The 15,238-nt window shown below is 39.4% G+C and overlaps 1 protein-coding gene across 4 annotated transcripts in view; it reads left to right on the forward strand.

Annotated features, from left to right (window-relative positions):
- The window catches only part of CERS6 (ceramide synthase 6), a 318,863-nt gene that overhangs the window by 232,735 nt on the left and 70,890 nt on the right, over positions 1 to 15,238 (forward strand). For all 4 annotated transcript variants that reach the window (NM_001256126.2, NM_203463.3, XM_005246440.6 and 1 more), the window contains 2 exons: positions 2,028 to 2,078; positions 5,953 to 6,045. In NM_001256126.2, the coding sequence (NP_001243055.1) occupies positions 2,028 to 2,078; positions 5,953 to 6,045 (144 nt within the window). The remainder of the gene's footprint in view (positions 1 to 2,027; positions 2,079 to 5,952; positions 6,046 to 15,238) is intronic.

Genomic DNA, 15,238 nt, shown 5'->3' on the forward strand with positions numbered 1-15,238 from the left:
CTCCTGCCTGTCACTGCAAGGGATGGGCACAGTGGCAGAGATGACTGCTGCATCCTTAGGGGCAAGCACACACATGCCCAATGGTCTTGGGACTGATAAATTTAGATGAACATGAGGCCTTGCATTTCCATTCTGTATTCCTTTTCATTAACATTCAGTAGATGAGTGCTGAACTGTGAACTTGGAAGTCTATGGTGAGAGGATAAACATGCATATGACTTAACTTTCCTTCAAGGACTTTCAGTTGAGGAGATAATCAACTTTATCAGAGAGAACGGCAATAACTAACATTTGTACTTTAAAATAGATGTTGCTGTGTTGTACCCACATTTTTTAAAACCTGCATATATATGGGTATTTAAAAGTAAATTGATCTGTATCATGTTTATATTACATAGGGACAAAAGACCAAAAATGGGCTATACATCAAAATGTTAATGGTGATGAAAATTTAAATTATTTTTATTTTTTATTCTTTATTTTTTACATCTTCCTCAATGGACACATATTGCTGACTGAACTATAAAAACACAGTAAGCCTCCCAAGTAGTTTTATGCACACGCTCTCATTTGATCTTCACAATCACTCTGTGAGGTCAATAATGAACATTGATGTTATAGATGAGAGAAATGGAGGAGACAGACAACTCAGACACTGAGGAAGTTAACTGCAGTGAAATTACATGATACAGACAGTGTTGAACAGGGAGCAAAAGGCAAAATCAGGAGCCTAATTAAGATCTCGGAAAGAAAATGAATAGTGCTTGAATGAAAGGGAAATGTAAAGATTCTGGAACATAGTTAGGTTTAGGGCAGTGCATGGCTTTGTACAGGAATCTGGCTCCCTACCTTGAGATTGGGTTTAGTTTGATCAGACTCAGAGACAGGGTGCACAGTGGTTATGTTTGGGTTTGGGACCAGAGAGTCTGAGTTTGATTTTCAACTTTGGCACTGCCTAGCTATTGAACCTAGGTAGTTATTCACAGACTCGGGGCCTCCATTTACCTATCTATAAAATAAGAAAAATACTAGTAGCTACTATAAGGATTAAATGAGTTAATATGTGTAGGAGGCTTTAAAAGTATATAGGACATAAGGAGGACTCAGCAGATATTAGCCACCTGAAGCTAATTGTCCTCATTCCTATGATACAGGGCTGATGAAGATGTTGGCAGATTAATCTTAAGAAACATATAGATGTATATCAAATGTATATAGATGTATATCAGAAAGTGCTGAGAGCTGTAGATAAGGGATGCAAAAGAATTATAACATTAATACTTCTTTTGAAATTATTTTGAAACTATGAGAAAGTTTGTGCTGGTCTTATTGGATAATTCGGCTGTCTGCTTGAATTCATACCAACCCCTCCCTGATTATTACAAATGTTTGGAATCTGTGTGTACACTTAGATTTTCCTAATCATACTGTGTCATAAGGCAAGTAATTCCTCAAATTAAGAATGATTGTTTTGTCATAAAAAGACCTGGATCACAGGTCAGGAGTTGGCATGTGCTGTGAGGGTTAGTCTTAAGTGTCCTTCTTAAGAAGTATACCTGCATGTCACTGAACCCTGGTCAAGGCATGAATAATGTCGCTTGGTAAACATTGAGTCTGAGGAGTTTCAGGGCAGTTTATACTAGCTGTCATCAATGTTTATAGATAAGAGTGAGATGGAGGATTTATATCTGGTTTCTGTGAGACCCCTGCAGGCCCCTGCTGTTGAGGCTGGTTATGTAGCAGGAATATGTCTAAGTGACCAGCAAAATAGAAAAAACACCAGCTGGAACTGCATCCCAAAAGCAGCCTAAAATACTACCAGTTGAGTTTAACTTACCAAGAGAGAATATATTGTATGATACTAGTTGCTTTAATATCCTATGCCTAGCTGTTTTAAAGTTTGTCAGTTCTCACACAGGTAAATTATTGAAATCCAAAAATATTAGGGCAAGAGCCTATTGTAAACCTTTTTTATCCTCTTATCCATGTTCTAAAATATGTAAAATATTTTTTGTCATTTTTTTCAGACCCCCTGGTTGTGGAATACGAGGCATTGCTGGTACAACTACCCCTATCAGGTAAGGAGGCATTATTGTCTGGGTTTTTACACACATTAAGTATCTACCTTCGGTCAATTTCATGGTCTCAGGCAGGCCCCAACAGGTTGGACAACCACCTTCATTTTTGGCCCCACTCCCGCTGATCAGTGCTGGACATAATCTAGTGAGGATAGTAATTTGTGCATTATTCTTAGTGAAGTTCAGAATCAAGGCCCGATTGCCCTAGCAGATGGAGTCAGCTTGGAAAGTACATTTACAAGGGAATAGGATCAATTAGTTCAACTGGTGGAAATTCCTGCTCCTAACAGCTGATCTGCTTCTAATCACTGAGGTAAGTCTGGAATCCTGTTGACATAGTGCAGACCTGCCTCAACAGCAAGTGGGAAAGATCAAGTGTGAGGCTAGAGCAGGTACACTGAGTTCAGTTCACTTTGTGACCTAGAAGCAGCCTCCAAATATGTAAATCAAGCACCATTTCCTTGAGTGCAGAAAAATGGGCTTGTACTATGACATGTGGAAGGATTATTTCTGCAACTAAAAACAGCATCATTGAAAGTGAGATTAAAATCATATCCCAGAAAGGAAGCATTTTAGATCTCTGCCCACTGGCATACCTTTGCATCTTTCCATGAATTCAGTGATATAAGCATGTGTTGTTGGGATCCCCAGATCCGTTTAAAAAGCTGGGACTTGTCTCAAAGTTTCTAGCTGGGAAATTTCTATAACTCCATGTTCAGTTGGGATATATTATGTAAGAGAAGCAAATGCAGCTAGGTATTTTGTGACAACATGAGGAGACATATTAAACATTATAATAAGCAACTTCAGGTTTTTTGTTTGGGGTTTCTTTGGGTTGTCTGTTGAGGTGTTTGGTCTTTGGGGCGTGCACAGTCCTATGGGGAGCAGGCTTGCCCTGTGTCTTCTTTGTTACACCTAGTGTCATGGCAGAGGGTGGGGACTGGCACTGGATACTCCTTGAGCTAGTTCAACGTTAAGGACACATTGAATTGGAATTCCAATTGGCATTTTCATCTCTTACGAGTGGTTTTTTCACATTAGAAAACACTATAAATAAGCAATAGAACATGGCAAGAGAGCTGAGCATTCAGAGGATATTTGATAGAGACTAAAGCAGTGTTGACACCAATAGCTTATTTTACACAATTGTAATTCTCAGGCCCAACTGCTGTTTACCGTACTTGGAACATTGTCACATAAGGCTCCTTGTGTCCTGTAATGGTATAGTGAGTAGCAAAATCCGTGTATGTCTACATTTCTGTTTATGAAAGTACACACAAGTGCCAAATGAAATGTAATACCTACTCTTCTTTTTAACTGTAATTTAGTCCAGAATAACTTTCATGTTCATGGCTGGAGCTGAGAAATTGCTTATTTCTGAGAAAATGAGTTGCTAGAGCTATGGTCTATACTGTAGCTGCAGAGGGTTTCACAGCACTGTAGATTCAACATGAAAGTTTGAGGGTCTGGGAGTTAGTAATGTTTTTAAAAAGAGGAAACACCACGTGTATGGAAGGCAAGATGCTATCTGTGGGGACTCAGATCAAGATTGTCTTCTGTATGATTCAGCATATAGCCCCCAAAATGTAGGACAAATTGATGGTTTCTCATGGGAACGGTGCATCTTTGAAAATGCTGTATAGTAATAAAGAATATTAGCTGATTTCTTTGTGTGTGGGTGGGGGGGAACTAAACAGCATATAATTATTATGTATGCAATTATAGTACTTTGTGTGTAAGCATGCCTATGTAAATATATAGATTCCTGTTCCAAGTCAGTCTCTAGCCTTAAGGGCACTTTTAAAGACCGAGCATGCTTATGAGACATATTTATGGTATCTTTAGCATATATGTTAAATTGATAATCGAACAGACATTTAGGTGAAAAAGTAGTGGTCTACTTCAATTTTATTAAGGATACACTTATTTTATATAAGTACACATATTATTTGTTACATATTAAATAATTTCATATACATGTGTATATTCTAAGTTTAAAATAATGTGAAGTTGCATTCAGTTGAACCTTGTACAGCTTGGTATAAGAAGCACAAGTTGGACATGAGATACCCTAGTTGGTGGTCATGGGGCCTCACTAGCTATGAGACCTAGGCTTAGCCTCTTAACCTGAATTAACTGACAGCAATTTCCTGTCAACTGTACAATCTAGGTCTAGAATTATAGTACTAATTTTATAGGATTTTTATGAGAATCAAAGAAATTAACATGTGAGTGAGCATTGTCAACTGCAAAGCACTCGTCGGACATAGTAATTATTATAATGGGATGAACTCTGTGGTTTCCAGATGCTCTCTGAGTTGCCCTTATAATTCCTCTGGGGCCTTTCCCCAGGTGGTGATGTGGAAGTAAGAGAATATCATTAAAACTAAAATTTACCCTTGGCTCAAAGGGTCCTGAGCCAGGGCCCGATTTTCTAAACTTCATTTCAGCCATCCATCTGCCCTGAATATCCATTCTTCATCGTTAATGCCTTCAAGTTTTACAAGGACAGTTCAGTAGGAAGTGTATTCTACTCAGGGAGATGCTGAATTCATGCTTAGGTCTCAGTTCAGGCTGCTACAAGAGAATACCCTAAGAGCTCATGTCCCTTCTTCTAAGGGCACTAACCCCATTCATGGGGGCTCCACTCTGATGGCCTAATTAGCTCCCAAAGGCCCTGCCTCCAAATACCGTCACATTGGGATTAGGCTTCATCATATGAATGTTAGGGGGACACAAACTTTCAGTCCACAGCAGTGCTCATTGTCATTTAGACTTTAGGATTGCTGGTTCTAGTATCCTGTCCCATTGTGTATTTTGTTGTCAAAGATCTATGCAGGACAACTTTTCCATGATTCCCATGCGTAGAGTGGGTGAGTGCCAGCTTCTCCTGATAGTCATTCATTATGCTGCTATTGGTGTACAAAACACTTACATTTCAATTATATTTACCATATATGGTATTGTCTTGTGTATAGGGGTATGGACTTGTTTGTGTGATGAGTTTCAAATGTTTTTCATTCATTTTAATAAAGCAAGACATTTCATTACAACTCAATATAACAATTAAAAACAACTCATCACAAATGTTTTTTGAAAACTCTCTTGTTTTTAGTGGGATTATGTGCAAAATAAATATTCCTGACTTCCACTGCCTCTCTGAGCCTCCCCCCGACCCTGAGCCTCTGAGGCAGTTAAAGCAGGTATCACTCCCATTTTACAAATAAGTAAACTAAGACCCAAGTTTTATACCTGCTGAGCTGTAGAGCTGAGACGTGATCCGATATCCTGGCTGGGTGCCTAGTCTGGTATCTCCTGGCAGCCTTCCTGTCCCTCTGATCTTTTAGTAAATATTTTTGAATAATTCTTTCTGATATTTGAAATGTACTGAACATTTTTTTCTAATAACAAAAAAAAGAGCTTTCTGATTAATGCAGAACTTAAATCTATGCCTCAGTGACCCATACAGCATTCCAGTTCCTATCACCTACTGTCTTGTCCCTATACTTGCAGCAGTTGTCCAGGGTTATTCTTTGTCTGTATTAGAATTTTTTTTCAGGTTGCTTAAGGAATCTTGCAGATACTTGTGACAAAGAATCATAAATGCTGTTGTTAAACTGAATAATGAATTGAGTCCCAAATGTTCGTGCTAATTAATGCTTTTTGAGTTGGAGATGAAATGAGAGTAATATCATCAAGCTGTGGATTAAAGTTATCCTCAAAGCCCCATCATCTACAAAAAGAATAGGACAGGAACTGCCTTTGTGCAGGTGCAAGACCATGTTACTTTTGAGCAGTGAGCTTGAGATGTCTGGGATACAAATTGGGTTCCCTATTAACTACTAATCATTCCTTTTTTTTCTTTCACCTTCAGCCACTCACAACTGACCTTCACTACTATTACATCCTGGAGCTGTCGTTTTATTGGTCTTTGATGTTTTCTCAGTTCACTGATATCAAAAGAAAGGTAAGAGCGGTTATGTCGTAAAGTGCTTGCAAGCATGCATCTTTAATGGCCCTTAGCAGGTGGGTTTAGACTCTCAAAGGCACTCACCCCTGTTCTCCTGGCAGCCCTAGGTTAGTACGACTTGCTGCGTTATTACAGAAAGTTCTCTATTTTTGTTTGTGCTGTTTTATATTTTTTTCTATTGTTTCTTCGCTCATCCCCTAAAACTCAGCTCTCTTTTCTCCATGTAATAATGTAGCAATGAATCCCCGTAGAAATGATTTTCTCTCAATCTAATTCCCAAGTTCCTCTGTTCTCCAAATTAAATAAAAAGCAAGAATTCTATTTGTAGCTCCTGGGAGAGAGTAAAGTCTCAGTGTTTCAACCCTACAGAATTAATTCCCCAATTGCAGGGTTGTCCAGTGTCAAAATATGTCTCGGAAATGCAGCATTCCTCAGTGAACTGTGATCTGGTTTCCACCTATCCCCTCCACTGTAATCACTTTTGTGTGACCCCTTACGTGTTAAATCCACTTATTCTGGCTTTCGTCCTACCAGCTTCTGGGCAGAATTGGCACTTCTAGCTCTTTACTGCTTATTTTTCTGTGACACCATATTTGGATTAATCCTTCAAAGTCACTTTGCTGTCCTTGTCTTAATGCCCCATGCTCTACATATTTGGGTGCAACAGAGTTCTGGACCTGAATTACAGGATGCCATCTCCCTGGATGATTGAGTTGATACTTCCTGACACTTCCAACCATAACCTACATGCCATGAATTCTGAAATGTTTCTCTTCTGCCCCACATTCTCTCTGGGTCCATACTTCCACATCTGTAGTCACAGATGATAGTACTGGTTGAACATCCCTAAATCTGGAAATCCAAAATGCTCTGAAATTTGATACTTTTTGAGTGTTAACATGATCCTCAAAGTAAATAAATGCTCATTGGAGCATTTTGCATTTTAGATTTTTATATTAGGGATGCAAATCTGTAAGCATAATGCAAACATTCCGAAATCCAAGGAAAACAGTTCTAATCCCAAGCATTTGGGGTAAGGGATACACAACGTATATTGTGTTATTTTTGTACATTATATCATTTAGTCCTGACAACAAATCAGAGGTCCAGTTTGATTATTTTATTATTTATGCTTATTTTATGAATGATGAAACTAAGCCTTACATACAAAGTGCTCCTGACTGAAGACATGGTCTTCTAGTCTTGTTCTTCTCCAGTAACCCTTAGAACCAAAAGTCATGTCAGCCAGGACGTTTTCCTTTGCTCTCGTTTTTGCCACTCCGTATACCTTCTTCCTTAATGTCACTGACAAACTTACAGTTCCCTCTCCTTTTGCCCACTCTATTATGTAGTCTCTTAAACAGTCTTTCTATCTAAGTAGTCATTCTTGTTTATCTGCTGCCTAAGAATTATGTTTCTAAAACCTTCAAGACAAAGTTCAAATACGTGGAGGATAAAATGCAATGTCTTAATCCAATTGAGCTAATACAAAAAAATGCCAGATTGACTGAGTGGCTTATAAAATCTATTTCTCACGGTTCTAGAAGGTGAGGTGCCCCAGATCAAGGCACCAGCAGATTCAGTGTCTGGCAACAGCCCACTTTCTCATAGATGACAACCTTCTCACTGTGTCCTCACATGGTGGAAGGGGCAAGACAGCTCTATGAGGCCTCCTTGTGAAAAGGCATGAGTCCCATTCACAAGGGCTTCTGCCAAAAGGCCCCATGTCCTAATACTATCACTTTGGGGGTTAGAGTTTCAATATATATATTTGAGAAGGACACAAGCATTTAGTCCCCAGCAAGCAAGATATGTTCGCCTTTGCACCCCCATGACTATCAGTGTAGCTGCTCATCGTGGGAATCAGTAAGTTGAGGGTAAATGAATAAGCAAAATCAGTTCCTTTACATTATGATGGAGCACAGTACTGTAATGTATCATTTCTTGGTTAAATCAGTAATCTGCTAAGTTGCAAACTGGTATCCAAGTGGCAGCTGAAAAGCGTTTAGGAGTCTGTGGGCCTACTACTACCCAAGTCCCCTGTCCCCACATATGCTCCTTCCACCATCCTACAGCAGTGGCTTACTTGGCTGGCAAAAAGCTATCTTTTCTGACTTGTATGGCTACAGGGCCCTTAATATGGTATATATCAGCTGATTCTCAGAAGTAGGTGGTCCCTGTCAAAGCGAGCTTGGGCATAACAGATGACTCTTTGACACCCGTAATTTGTGGTTCCCTTACTCATTGCACCCAACACTCCGAGTTGGTTTCTGAAATCATTTACGGACTCTTTAGTGATGGTATGTCAAGGGAATCTCTTCTGTCCTACATGAGGGAGCCTTCTTTGGTCATGTAGTGTCAATACATGTAGACTGATTATTTTCTGTGTGCCAGGTACTGTGCGAGGCTCATGTTGCATTTATTTTCTTTTTTGAGGAGACCTTTTGTCCAGGTAGTCACGTAAAACTCTTATATAACAGAGAGCTAGAACATTCTTCCTTTTTTTTTTTTTTTAACTTGGGAGAATTGATGCACAGAGTGAGTTTATGTAAGTTTCTCAAGGCCATGCAATATAGGAATGAATTAGAGGCTAGGCTTACCAAGCAGAGCCCTGTGATTCACTCTTAGATTAGACACATACATAATCCTTGCCTTGCCATGCTCCTGACATTACAGGTAGTTAGCCTTTAACAGCTCTTTGCCATTTTATCAGTCCTTCTCTTGCTTAGTGAGAACTAGAGGTGCCATCCAGAGTCAAAAGCAGGAATAGCTGTCCTTGGCTTCCAGAAGCCTAGTCCTAGTAAGACATTGCTATACCAAAAGTTACCAAGTCCCTGCACTAGCTTGAGCTTTCTCATCACATGTGGAATGTGGCTTTGCAGTGAGCCAGCAGGGCTCAAAATATCTTTATTGCTGTATTAGTTTGTTTTCGCACTGCTGTAAAGAAGTACCTGTGGCCAGGCATGGTGACTCATGGCTGTAATCCCAGCACATTAGGAGGCCGAGGTGGGTGGGTGGATCACTTGAGCTCACAAGTTCAAGACCAGCCTGAGCAACATGACGAAACCCTGTCTGTATAAAATATACAAAATTTAGCCAGATATGGTGTTGTGCACCAAGTGAGCCAAGATGGCACCGCCGCACTCCAGCCGGGGTGATAGAGCCAGACCTTGTCTCACAGGAAAAAAAAAAAAAAAAAAGAAAAAAAAAAAAAAAAAAAAGAAACACCTGAGACTGGGTAATTTATAAAGAAAAGAGGTTTGAGGTTTAATTGGCTCACGGTTCCATAGGCTGTGCAGGAAGCATGATACTGGGATCTGCTTGGCTTCTGGGGAGGCCACAGGAAACTTATAATCATAGCAGAAGGTGAAGGAGAAGCAAGGCATGTCTTACATGGTGGAGCAGAAGCAAAAGAGAGGGAAAGGTGCCACACACTTTTGAACAACTAGATCTCAAGAGAACTCACAATCCCGATGACAGCACCAATGGGGGATGGTGTTAAACGATGAGAAACCGCACCCAGGATCCAATCACCTCCCACCAGGCCCCTTCATATTTGGGGATTACATTGCAACATGAGATTTGGGAGGGGACACAGATCCAAACCATATCAATTGCTTTAAGCCAAATGACTGTTATCTCAATAATTTTCGTAGGTGAATTATTTTGGGGGATTGAAGTGTATCATTTTGTATTACTTTAACATATATAACATCAGTGGAAAACACCTGTAAAAGGGATAATTTTATAGTAAAGTTTGTGGAATTGATCCTAGGCCTGTATATATTGTCAGTGTTTAGAAATCGATTGTATATTTTTTGCTAGTCAATATGAATAGCATGTTTTAGATAGGTAGCTCCTCTTGTCTTCTGCTGGTCAGATTAGATTTGTACATTCCTGATGCAGCTGGTTTATTCTTGTTTCTTGCACAAAAATGGGAATTTGGCCGCTACCAGGCATGCTTACTCCTTGGCACAGGTTTTCATTAGGAAGGCCTTTTCCTCTGCTGCCATCTCTCATTAGGGAGCTGCAGTGCTTGCTTTTCCCCTTTGCGTCTTGCTGAATGGCCCCATGGGTCCTTGGCAGTTCCATCCTTATTCCGCCTCCATTTGGAGGACCTGCTGTTCTAGCCATTAGTGAGGATTTATGGCACATTCTGTCTGCCAGATGCACTCTCCACCTTCTGTATTGGAACTATTAACTGAACCCTCTAAAAACAGCCTGCTTCCTTATGATGGGATAGGGATGTTTGAAGACACCCATTGGCAATACAGTATGGAAATCAACTTCAGAAGACGTTCATGAGGTTGTTAATAGAAGAGTTATCACAGTGTTTCTTTGGCTCCCATATTAAATAACAATGAGTGTCAATGGCCATTTTCAAACAGGGACCAGGATTTATAAACATTGGCTCCAAATGCATGCCTCAGACTTCTAGAATCAGTACTTTAAATAGGTTTGACAATCATTTATTTTGATTTATTGGGTTCACGAATTTTTCTAAAATGGTTTTGTATTCATAAACTCTTCTTTTTTGGCACCTTTTTTTTAAATTGCTGTATTTCCATATAGAATCTGAAGTTTAAAAATGAGGGGAGAACTTTTCATCTTCATGGTGACAGAACACATTGCCTCACTTGTAATCATTTCCAGAGTTGGTACTTATTTGGTCAGTGATGAGAAATACTATTAATCTTCCCAAAGGGAAGATTAGATGAAAAATAAAAGATGTTTAAAACATCTTTTATTTCCCAAGGCTTAATTTTTGTTAAAATTGTATCCTTTAGCACCTGTTCACAATGAACATTTCTACTGCCATCTAAAATTTCCAAAGGAAGCTAATAAATATTTTTGCGTTGGAGCTCAGAACAGCTTGCTTATGTCTAAGCCCTATGTCCCTTTTAACTAAGCTGCTGTTTGGCTTCAAGGCCTGGGCCTTTGGCCAATGAGTTCTGCTCATGTTCAGAGTCCTTCTCAGGGAAGCATCCCTGGCAGAGTTCCAGGGCCCAGCTGGTGAAATCAACTTGTTGCCCTTTTGGTCTTAAACCCGAGAGAAACACTACATCTTATAAAAGATTCCTGACAGAGAGAGATATGATTAAGTCTAGCAAGAAACTTATTGATGAGCTTGTGTTAGCTCTCTGCTGACTTTTTGCGGAGAATAACTGGAGCCCATTACTGTAAGTGCTTTAGATGCCTTTGGGGGCCGTGTCATGCTCCAGATCTTGCCTGCTTCAGTTAGTTTTAGGGGAAAGGAAAATGCATGTTTTAATCTTACGAGGAAGCAGCATGGAACAGAATTACGTAAAATAATGTACGTGAAACTATGTAGTGTACGGTGCTTGACAAATAGAGCTTAGACAGTACGTGGCACATAATGACCCAGTAAGGAAAGTCAAAAAGCACCTACCATGAACACCATTGATTCATAAAGGAAAGGGCATTTTAACATAAAAGAAAGGGAGAAAGGTTACATATTGTAATAAAGGACAATCCTTTAAATTTATCATTAAGTAAAAGTCCTTATTTTTGTCATTTTGTCCTAGACTGGGGAAAACATTATGGGTGCAATATGGCTTAGAGGTTAAAAGCATGAGCTCTGGAGTTTGTCTACCTGCCCAGCACCACTCCTAATTCGATGTGACCTTGAGCAAGTTACTTTACCTTTCTGTACGTTGGTTTCCTGATCCAAAGAATGGAGTTCACATAACCTACCTTATGGGTGTGTTGTAAGTGTAAATAAGTAAATAAGTAGTACATGTACTTAGAAGAGTGCCTGGCACATCATAAATGCTCAATAAATGTAGCCTTTCCTTGTAGTCATTAAGGCACTCCAGATACTGCCAGTTCTTCACCCTCAGGCACACCAGGATTGTGCTTCTCAGCCAACCTCCTCTTTTGTGATTGGGTGGGGCCATATGACTAGTGGGCTGTGAACAATATTGATTTGAGCCGCTTCTGGGCTGGAGTATTATAGTTGCCGGCATGGACTCTCTAGGGCTCCCACTTCTAGCACAGTGATTGGTAACACTGGAGATGGGGGCTGCTCCGTCAGCCTGGGTTTCTTAGTGCCTCAGGCAAGCAGAGTCCCTGGCCCCCAACCAATGATAACATGTAATGAGTAAGAAATAAGCCTTTGTTTTAAACCACTGAGGTTTTAAGGACTTTGTAATTGCTGCATATCTTAGCTTATCCTGACTGGCACAGATGTTAATAATAATATGGCTAGTTATCATTTCCTAGGACAATATTTGGAAATAATTTGTCTAATCAGTACCTCTCAAAATATGCTCTTTGAATCCCTGACAATCTCTGAGGCCCTTTCAGGAGGTGTGCAAGGGCAAAACTGTTTTTATAATAGTGCTAAGATGTCATTTGCCTTTCTCCCAGTGTTGAAATTTTCACTGAGAATGCAGAAGTAATCATGGGCAAAATTGCTGGTGGTGGCACCAAACTACTACTAATAGTAGTCATTGTACTCTTCATGCCACATTCTTGCAGAAAGAAAAAAATGTCAGTTTCACCTGAGAATGTTCTTGATGAAGCAGTAAAAACTATAGTTGTCCCTCAGTATCCATGGGGAATTGGTTCCAGGACCACCAACCCCCGCCCCCGAGGATACCAAAATTCATGGATGCTCAAGTCTTTTATATAAAATGGTATAGTATTTGGCCAGTTGCGGTACTCCCACCTGTAATCCCAGCCCTTTGGGAGTCTGAGGCGGGCAGATTGCTTAAGCCCAGGAGTTTAAGACCTGCCTGGGCAACATAGCAAGACCCTGTTGCTAAAAAATAAAATAAAAATAATTAAAAATAAAATAAAATTGTATATTTTTGTACAACCGATGCACATCCTCCCATATACTTTAAATCATCTCTAGATTACATAATACCTAATGCCATGTAAATGCAATGTTAATAGTTATACTGTATTTCTTAGGGAATAATAACAAGAAAAAAGTCTATACATTCTATACATGTTCACAACTATCCATTTTTCTTATTCAGACACACCCATCTATTTTTATATTTATATAGATACAACCGTCCATTTTTTAAAAAGTTTTCAATTCATGGTTGAATCCATGAATGCAGAACCTATGGATAATGGGGGGCCAACAGTATTAATTTTATTAAACCTCTCTTCTTGAGTATATATTGAAAAAGAATATTGTGTGTGATGAAATTGGAAATAGGTATGCAATGGTGTCTGTCTTAAGAAAAATGCAGTTCTTTTTCTTTTGAACTGAACTTTTTTTCATAGAACCCCATTTTTACTTGAAAGAATGATAAACTGTGGTTATTCCAACTTGTGTATTTGACAGACATTGTCTAGAAAATGCACAAAATTAGCTTGTCACGTTGTTTCAAAGAAAGCAACTGACATTATTTGTGGTCAGTGATAAAACTCAAGCTTTCAAGCAAAAATTAGATTTTTGGAAAGCTTATGTGTACCAGCAGGAGCTTGACAGCCTGTCAATCCTTTACATTTCTGATGAGATTGGTAGTGATATTAACAAATGTGATTTTCAAAAATATTTTATTTAAAAAATCACTACTCAGCGAACCAATATTTTCCAGATAACTAATGCATGATGTTATAAAATCATGCATGAGTGAAAGATCCATTCACAGACCAATGGATTTTAATGTAGCAGAATATAAAAAGTTTATTGATATGATTTTAGATTCCATATTACAACCAACTTTTAAGAATATCTGACTTGACAAATTTTAGTATGGTGCCAAAGAAGAATATCCATAACTATCTGAAAGTACTATTAAGGTACTTCTTCCTTCTCCAGCTATGTATTATCGTGGTACTGGGTTTTCACCAAATACTTCAACCCAAACAACATCTGGCAACAGATTAAATGTATACACAGTTATGAGAATCCAACTCTCTAGTATTAAGCCAGACATTAAAGAGATTTGCAGTAATGGAAAACAAGGCCACTCTTCTCACCAATTTTTTTTGAAAATGTAATTTTTAGTAAAAATGTATTAACATTTAATGGAGTTTGTTTACAATAAATAAATGTGTTTTAAATATTTTTAAAAATTTCTCAGTTCCAACAGTGGGTATGTTAATACTGATAGATATAGTCCTCATAAACAAATACTCTTTGGTGTTCGCAATAATTTTTGAAGAGGAGACCAAAATGTGTGAGAATGGCTGGTCTGGAATATTCTTAAGTCTTTCCTAAAAATGTGACTCCCATACCAGGTTTTGTGGCTCATGCCTGTAATCCCAGCACTTTGGATGGACGAGGCAGGCGGATCACTTGAGGTCAGGAGTTCGAGACCAGCCTGGCCAACATGGTGAAACCCCATCTCTACTAAAAGTACAAAAAATTAGCTGGGCATGGTGGTACACACCTGTAATCCCAGCTACTCAGGAGGCTGAGGCAGGAGAATCACTTGAACCCGAGAGGCGGAGATTGCAGTGAGCCAAGATCACGCCACTGCACTCCAGCCTGGGAGACAAAGCCAGACTCCATCTCAAAAAACAAACAAACAAAAAAAAAGTGACTCCCAGGTAGTGCCTCACATTGCATCAGCATATCCTTTCTTTGCTTGAAAAGCTAAAATCACACCAGATGACATCGGATCATCCTGGCAGGGATGGGGATTGATGTAGACTTCTCTCCTTGTAACCTCACTCCTGCTACCTATAGACACAGTCAGGAGGGCCGCTTCACCTCTCTTTCACCAAGGTGCAAAGTTGCTCTTTTATGCAACTTCTCATGATTGGAATTGCAATATTCTGCCCTTGAAGTTCAGTTTCCTCTGAGGTAGATATTCCCAATCTTAGGCCTGTGTCCTGTTTCTTTCTCACTGCTGTGTCTTCAGAATATAAGCAGGGAAAAAGAGCAGCTCATTTTAATAAGCTACCATTTGTGATCAAAGCATTGCAAGCCAGTACCATGTGCAGACTGGTGGAAGAACAATAGAACTATTGTCTGGAAAAGAAGTGTTTCATGGGGTAATTTTTATGGGATTTTATTCAAAGGCTGCCTTCAGTAGTGGCTTACGCTGGCAATCAAGCATCCAAGTGCCTTGTCAAAGGAGAGGCTCTTAGACATCTTTAGATCTCATGGTCAGATAACCAGCCACTAGTCAGCCCTGGTTCTCATAGACTCAGCCACATACTGTAATTCAGGGTGCAGAAGAGTGACGACCAGGAGCCT

This window comes from Homo sapiens, chromosome 2 (genome assembly GCF_000001405.40).
Source record: "Homo sapiens chromosome 2, GRCh38.p14 Primary Assembly".
In the NCBI taxonomy this organism is placed as follows: Eukaryota; Metazoa; Chordata; class Mammalia; order Primates; family Hominidae; genus Homo; species Homo sapiens.